This window comes from Homo sapiens, chromosome 2 (genome assembly GCF_000001405.40).
Source record: "Homo sapiens chromosome 2, GRCh38.p14 Primary Assembly".
NCBI classification, from domain to species: Eukaryota; Metazoa; Chordata; class Mammalia; order Primates; family Hominidae; genus Homo; species Homo sapiens.
This window is the reverse complement of record NC_000002.12, coordinates 16491699-16500501: the sequence shown is the minus strand read 5'-3', so window position 1 is coordinate 16500501 and position 8803 is coordinate 16491699. Positions and strand designations below refer to the sequence as shown.

General features: G+C 41.8%; 1 annotated feature.

The window, feature by feature from the left end:
• Positions 4236 to 4796: an enhancer, noted in NCBI's record as "NANOG hESC enhancer chr2:16676974-16677534 (GRCh37/hg19 assembly coordinates)". NCBI's record gives its function as "activates a minimal SCP1, AML or CMV promoter by ChIP-STARR-seq in naive H9 embryonic stem cells {active_cell/tissue: H9 hESC(naive)}" and the evidence as "EXISTENCE:reporter gene assay evidence [ECO:0000049][PMID:30033119]".

Genomic DNA, 8803 nt, shown 5'->3' with positions numbered 1-8803 from the left:
TCATAGTGAATCCTGTAGGTCTTGACAGGGACACATTTTGCTCTGAGTTAGATGGGAAACCAGTAGAAGGAGGAGAAACAGGGTGTGCCTGGGATTCCAAAAGGACCACCTGACTCCACATGGAGCCAGGACAGGGGTGAAAGCAAAGTGAGCAATTTGGGGACTGTTGTAAAATCTCAGGTGAGAAATGGAGTTGGGTACAGGATGGTGGGGGAGGATGGTGTAAGGAATGATTGGTTTGGATACATGATTCAAAAATACAAGTGACAAGATTTGCCAATATAGTAGGAGAGAAAGGAAGAAGAAAAAAAGTAGAATTCCAAGGTTGAAATTAGAGAGCTCAAAATTATTGCCTTAAAAGAACACAGCATTTGGAGACACAACTTGTGTGAAAGCTGATAATTGAAGATATATTCACTGAGAGTGTGTTTTCTATGGAAAATGCTGACAGGTGTATAGCACTTTGCATGGACAATGGTGCCACTGTTTGGCCTTTAGTTTGCTTCAATAAGGGCTTCTCATCTCCCTGTTGTACTCCAAGCACAGGGCTCAGTGTGGGCATGAAAGACCCAGTTCCCTAGGGCCGGCTGACACAAGCAGGAGGGACTGTCACTAACACTGTTACTGAGAAGCAGTGGGTAGACAGGACTTAGCCATAAAGAAGAGGTCAACACTTGAACTCAAGGCTCTACAACAATCAACAGACCATGGTCTTTGGTATAAAAAAACATGGGTACATGCTGTTTGTGGGATGCTTTTGCCAGCTTCAAACTCAGGTCACTTGAGTGACTGTCTCCCAAAGACCCAATGAGAGGCTTTCTAGAATGTATGAGAGGAGAACCCCACCTTGCACTCTGCAGGTCAGAGGGAGGTTTCTGGGCCACCAGGAGGTTTTTAGAAAGGAGTAAAAAACTGTGAGCTCAAGGAATTTGTGTTGTATTCAAACTAGGTGAAGTGATGGGAAAACTCTCATTTAATGACCCATTTCTGTTTTGCAATGTTATTGAAGGCAGCTACCAGAAATTTTACAAACTAGATTACATCATCAGTCAAGGGAGTCATTTAATCAGCATTCACTTAGCTCCTAGTCTTCTGAGCAGATCCTGGACTCCTCCAGGATCCTTCAACCCAGTGGGGAGGGAAACACTGATCCACGGAGTATGGGCTGAATGTGGGCATGGTCAACTTTGGAAATACAGGCAGTGGGAAGTTTGGTGTCCTGAGGACTGTGAAGGTGGGGAAGACATGAGAGGACATCAACCTTCTGTCCCAGTGCAGTGGCCCCTGGAGTTCTGCTTAGGGGGATTGGGTCCTCATGAGTCACTGTTTTTGCATTATTTATTTGTTTATTCACCTAGGAAGATAGCTTCCTTATTCACGCCTTTTCTGGCATTTTAACACATCATGGCCTAATCCAGAAAGTCTAGTGTATTCTTGATGCTGGCGAGGTTGTGGAGAAAAAAAGAATGCTTATACACTGTTGTTGGGAGTGTAAATTAGTTCAACCATTGTGGAAGACAATGTGGTGATTCCTCAAAGACCTAAAGACAGAAATATCATTTGACCCAGCAACCTCATGATTGGGTATATACCCAAAGGAATATAAATCATTCTATTATAAAGACACATGCACACATATGTTCATTGTAGCACTACCACAATAGCTAAGACATGGAATCAACCTAAATGCTCATCAATAACAAACTGGATAAAGAAAATGTGGTAATATATACCATGGAATACTATGCATGCATGAAAAAGAACAAGATCATGTCCTTTGCAGGGACATAGACAGAACTGGAGGCCATTATCCTTAGAAAACTAATGCAAGAACAGAAAACCAAATACCACCTATTCTTGCTTATAAGTGACAGTTAAAAATGATGAGAACGCATGGACACATAGAAGGGAACAACACACAATGGGGCCTATTGGAGGGTGGACGGTGGGAGGAGGGAGAGATCAGGGAAAATGACTAATGGGTACTAGGCTTAATACCTGGGTAATGAAATAATCTGTACAACAAACCTCCATGACACAAATTTACCTATATAACAAACCTGCACATATATCCCTGAACTTAAAGTAAAAGCTTAAATAAAAGAAAGTCTAGTATATTCTTTCTCCGCTTCTGTGTCCTTGGACCTAGAAGAAATTAATGCATTCTGAATTTGTATCCCACTGGTTTTCCCCTTTGTCAGCAAGTCTTCATGAGTTTTCTGAAGGCCGCCTTTCATCTCCTGTGTCTACCCTTATGCAGTGGCAGAAGACAAAGGTAAGGAAAAGACTGTGATGGTCTCAGGAACAAGGAGTGAGGGTGGCGAGGTGGTGGACAAGAGCATCACAGAACCTTTCCAAGAATCACCTCCATTTGCTCCTCCAGATCAGCTCTTTACCCTTCTCGTCCCTGCTCTGTGCCCTGGGTAGTGATCTGGATGGACTCCACTATTTGACCCCCTTGCCATCAGGTTCCAGTTGGGTTTGTCAGGATATTAATGAGCAGCTTCACGCCCACCACCCCCACCCCCACCACCTCTGGGCTGCAGGTTTAACAATGCCTGAGTTCCTCTACTCTTGGCCTGGGCCCTCTCCTATCACCACAGTGCTCAGATTGCAGGGGTAACCACTCCTCTTCTTAGGCTTTCAGGCCTACAGATAGTATCAACTTTCCAATCTTGATGGTCCTTGGATGCTCCATCTTTCCTTCCTGAAACTCTTTACTCTTCTTGTACTTATGTGATTATTGCCTTTAAAGCCTGCTGGTATAAAGCAAGCTATAAATAAAATATTTAATGGAACAGATTATGTGCAAATACAGAGGAGAAAGGGCATGTACAAGATAATGATAATCCTGGACTTGGAGTCAGGGTATTGAGATCTGGGTTCTATCTCAGCTCCATCACTAGTGCTATATCACTTTGCTTCTCTAACACATAGTTTCTCAGTCTGTGAAATAAATTAGTTGAACCTTTCTGAGATGAAATATTCAAAGCAAGATCCTACCGAGGAAGACCAGAGCCTGTTAATCTGTGCAATGCAGTCTGTACACACTGCTGCCTGAGTCTCAGGTTGTGGTTGGTTGATGGGACAAAGAGATGTTGATGGATTCCATGCAACCAGGCTACTTGTGACTTGATCATCTAGTGGAAACTAGACTAGATAATTGCCCTACTTACCTGTCAGCTCATTTGTTTCTCTCTCTTGACTTCCACATCTAGATCCAAGTACTTCTGCCTAACTGTCAATAGTCCCCAAATCCAACATATTATGCAATATGTTATCCTACTTGCTACTCTGCTGAACTGCTGATCTCACTTACTCTTGCCAGTCTCACCTCAAAGCTTTTGCTTGAGTGGCCCCCAGCAGGTGGAGAATCTTCTCTTCCCTTACCTTTACTAATCTCGATCTTCCCAGTCTGCAAGAGTTCACCCAAGTACCACCTCTTGTAGAAAGCCTCCCTCCCCTGTCTCTTTTAGCCTAGCTTGATCTCTCCTCCCTCTGCTAATGGACAGTCACTCACTGATCTGTGCCAGTCCATTGGGTGCTAACTTGTACTCTGACCATTTTTGCTGTGCCAGCTTTGCCTCTTCACTTCCTTGAAAGTCCAGCCTTTCATTTGTCACAGTACATGTTGCACAATGCTGGGCGTATGATAGCATTTAATCAAATCTTGTCAGTTTATAATTTGAGGTAATGTCTCATTCATCTGGCACCTTGGGCTTTTCCAGATAACTGAAGTTGAGCTTGTCAAACACCAAACAAGTATAGTAAGCTCTTTTTAATAGACATCTTTCTGAAATGTATTTGACATTTCCAGAAATTCTGAATTCCCATCTGCCATACATAACTACGTAATTTCAAAACCACTCAGAGATGTCATTCTAAACACCCATTAGCATCCTGAGCAGTAATGCAGATCTGTATCTGGTTTTAGGTCCTTTGTCTCCTCCCTCGGTATCTTGCAATGCCAACTGTGATTTTCTTAGGACTCACATAACTGTCTCTCCTGAATGTCTTCTTCAACCATTCTTTTCCTAATTACTGTGTTTCTTTTACTAAGGTCCAGGAAACCAAATCACTAGAAGTCTCCAGAAAACACTCCCTGCACACCAATTTGATGCCAGGGAATAGTATAAATAAAGCATGACACAGGCATCAACAAGCTTAAACTCTCAACAGGCATAGCCACAATACAGAATGGCAAAGGCCATATGGAAGGTACAACCTAGAAGACAGAGCCACAAACTGTAGGCAGTAGGAAGATGTAGTTGCAGCTCAGGGAGCAAGGAAATTTGAGATAAACTCTGAGAATATGCAGGAGTTCACCTGGAAGAACAAACAGGAATAAAATTTCCAGCGGAAGAAACAGCATTCTTGAGTAATTGTTGGAGAACAAGAATCTAGATTTCATAAGGCTTTGCAAAAGGGCACGAGCAACAGTGCACATAGCCATTAATGCTAGAACTTTCAACAGCTAATGTGGGCACTCAGGGGACTCTTTTGATGAGCTCAGGATCAAAAGGTCCTGAATGAGTCAGGTTTCTGGGAAACGGACCTGTGGATTAATGGCCTCTAACTGTGCTTTTGCATGTTAGCTATTTGGAAGGACCTTGGCCATCACTGTGGTAAAGAGTAATTTTCTTAAGACCTGCAAATACAATGGTATTTCTAAAATAATTAACATTAGCCAGTGCCAAAAAAAAAAAGCCTAGATAATATTTTATGGGATTCTAGGATGTCAGAGTTGGAAGGTCTTTTATAACTGATTTCTTTTGTCCTTTTTATTGATGAGTTGGTGGTTAATTGAAGATGCAGATCAAGCATGGGCCTTGCCTGAACTAACACAGCTGGTGGCAAAGCCCAGGCACCAGCATTCTAGATCTCCTGATGCTGAATCCTCTGTGCTTATTCCCCTATGAAAACATGCCTTTTAAATCAGTGGCTATATTCACTACTCAATTTAACAAACTTGATTGAATGTATTCATCACTTAGTTTAACAAACACTGGTGGGCTGGATATGGAAGGATGAGGTCCTTATCTGCAAGTTGCTGACAATACAGTGTGAAGGAAACGTGCTTGGCCACAGCTCCTATAGCAGCAAGGCATCCCCTGGTGTTCTAGGCACTGGTAACTGTCTGCATTGATGATTCAGTCACCCTTCCCTGTCATCTTTGAGTTGCTTCCGCCTCTGAGCCTGGTTTCTCCAGATGCTTCTGGCATTGTCAAATGCCATTATCCCCCTCCTAGGATGATCTCTCTAGGCTGACTCTCCTTTCTCATTCACTAGGGGTCAGTTTCCAGACCATGGCTTCTCCCCTCAGTGTTTTTGCATCCCATAATACACTTTTCGTGTTCCACCTCTGAACGTACACAATGACTTGTGGTTATCTTTTCTTATATAAGAACTTTAAGCTAAAAGACAAAGAATGGGTCTCTTTAAATTCTAACTTCCCCTTTCCCCACCTCACTCTCCCTCGTTTGAGGACACAGTGAGACAGCAGCCATCTGTAAGCCAGGCAGAGTCTGGAACAGTTACTAATGCAGGATAGTAGAGGCTCAGTGTATATCTGAGTTCAACTGAGTATTGGAAAAGGAAATGAAAGACAAGGAAGCCATATTGTCTTTAGTGGGATGAGGTTCTGAGCTCCTGGGTGTGGAGTGGTACATTTTGCCATCTAAACTTATAAAGAGCAGTGAACACTTTCAAAGGTGTTGTTTAATTATGGCTTTAGAAATATTTATTGGAACCCATTAGATGCTGGGGATAGAATAGTGGATGAACTCACAAGGCTCCTGTCGTCATGGAACTGACGTTTCTTGGAAACAGAGGTACTTGCATACATACATAACATACATAAATATTTTGATTTCCACTACATTGTCCGCACATTGGTAAATGCTGAGAAGACAAATGAGTAAGGGAAACAAGACAGAAAATGATAGGAAGTTCTATTTTAGATAAAACGATCAGGGAAGTCCTCCCTGAGGAGATGACATCTAAACAGAGACTTGGATGTGGTGAAGAATTGGTCCTTGTGGTCTTGAGGGAAGAGTGTGCCTGGCAGCCAGGTGGGAAGTGCAAAGGCCTTGAGGTGGGAGTTTGCTTGGTGTGTCTCAAGAATAGCAAGGATGCCCATGTAGCTGGGATAGAATGATCAAGGAGAGAATGCCAGGAGAGGGTCAGACGGAGGTGGGGGCCAGGTCATGAAGAACCGTAAGTTGTAACAAGAGAGTCAAGGATAGAGAAAAGCATCTCTGGACCAGGAAACCAAAGCCTCAGATTATAGTATTTTCTCTGTCACTGACTTCCTGTATGACTGACTGGACATCTAATTTCCTGTCTATATGATAAAGGAACTGGAGGTGATGACTCTAAGCACCTCCCAGCCCTATATGATCTGGGGACCTTGCTTCTGCATTTTTGACATGCCCCTAGGATAGACAGGGGACACTCAGATGGACACACAGCCTTTGGTGTGCATTTGCAACAGGAATGACAGCATGGGCTGTCCACAGTTCTGAACCTTCCAGCAGTCTCTTTACAGGCAGCCAGAGAGGTGACAGTTTAAGACACTTAAACTCTTTCGACCATAGACTTTCTTTAACAGTTTGGTGTGCGTTTGCAGTGAATGTCATCTATCAACAGAAGTTATTAAAATTCTGGAGGCACTTCCCCTGGTGGGATGTCACTGTTCGTCCCTTTTTATAATGGGTGAAACCACATCTTTTGCAACTTGTGCATCATCCATGAAGACTTTCTTTTTCTAATGATCAGCTGTCACTCTGTCTTTGTAAGGTGGGTAATGGAATTATTTTTAAAGCTTTCATTTAACAAGCTTGTATCTTGTAAAAGACCTGCTTGAGAAATGCAAGCATTTTTAGATAGGGAAGTGACAACTGTCTGACATGAAAAAAATATCTTTCTTACCTGTCCTTTTAAACATGAAAAAATCAAATTCCCCTTCCCTATGACAGTGGTTTTGACTTGTGCTATATGTTGTACAGGACACAGCTAGAGTGCATGACTAGGAAGGACACAAAGCTATTTCAGGGTTAGGCTTAAAGGCCTTTTAACCATGCTGAACAAACTGTCTTCAAACAGCCCTTCCCACTCTAATATCTTCTCCCCCTTAGCATAATCTTCCCTTAATCTGTATTTTCTATTTTGCAAGGACAGATCAGAAGATTGTCAATGCCATTTTAATTGCCATGTGCCTTTGACAATAAGGCCCAGAAAGGTCTCACTGAAAATATGTGCAGCCCCAGAAATGGGTTTGAAGTTGCATGCAATGATTTAGAGGATCATGTTATCTATCAGAAGAGAGGAGAGTGAGTGTGTGCACACACTAGTGAATTCCTGTGTGCATGTGTGTGTACGTGTGTGTGACTGACTTCCATCTGTACTTACCTATGCTGGACTCTTTGTCTTGTAGGTCTTAATTTTTTATTTTTAAAAATCCAAGGTTGAAATTGATCTCAGTAGTTTGGACTCAGAAATGATTTCGGTACTACAGTTTAGGTCTTATCCAAGTGTTGTATTTCTTTGGGATTAAATACTATAAGCTGTATTTTTTTAGTTTTTATTTTAGGTTTGGGGGCATATGTGAAGGTTTGTTACATATGTAAACACGTGCCACAGGGATTTGTTGTACAGATTATTTCATCACCCAGGTACTAAGCCCAGTACCCAATAGTTATCTCTTCTGCTCCTCTCCCTCCTCCCACCCTCCTCCTTCAAATATACCCCAGTGTCTGTTGTTTCCTTCTGTGTGTTCATAAGTTCTTATCATTTAGCTCCCACTTATGGGTGAGAACATGTGGTATTTGGTTTTCTGTCCCTGTATTAGTTTCCTAAGGATAATGGCCCCCAGCTCCATGCATGTTCCCACAAAAGACATGAACTTGTTTTTTATGCCTGCATAGTATTCCATGGTGTACATGTACCACATTTTCTTTATTCAATCTGTCATTGATGGGCATTTGGGTTGACTCCATGTCTTTGTTACTGTGAATGGTGCTGCAATGAACACTCATGCCCATGTGTCTTTATGATAGAATAATTTATATTTCTCTGGGTATATACCCAGTAATGGGATTGCAGGGTTGAATCATATTTCTAATCTTTGAGGAACTGCCATACTGCTTTCTACATGGTTAAACTAATTTACACTCCCACCAACAGTGTGTAAGTGTTCCCTTTACTCTGCAACCTCACCAGAATCTGTTATTTTTTGATTTTTTAAAAATAGTCATTCTGACTGGTGTGAGATGGTATCTCACTGTGGTTTTGATTTGCATTTCTCTAATGATCAGTGATATCGAGGTTTTTATCATATGCTTGTTGGCCACATGTATGTCTTCTTTTGAGAAGTGTCTGTTCATGTCCTTTGCCCACTCTGATGGGGTTGTTTTTCTCTTGTAAATTTGTTTAAGTTTGTTATGGATGCTGGATATTAGACCTTTGTCAGGTGCATAGTTTGCAAATATTTTCTCCCATTCTGTAGGTTGTCTATTTGCTCTGTTAATGGTTTCTTTCATTGTGCAGAAGCTGTTAAGTTTAATTAGACCCCACTGCCAATTTTTGCCTTTGTTGTGATTGCTTTTGGTGTCTTTGTCATGAAATCTTTGCCCATTCCTATGTCCAGGATGATATTGTCAACAGGAAGTTGTTTTCCAGGATTTTCATAGTTTTTATAACCTGTATTTTAAAATGTTCCTTCCTCATAATAAAATGATTAGAGGCTGCTATGGACTGAATTATGTCCCCTCAAAATTCTTATGTTAAAAGCCTAGGCCCCAAA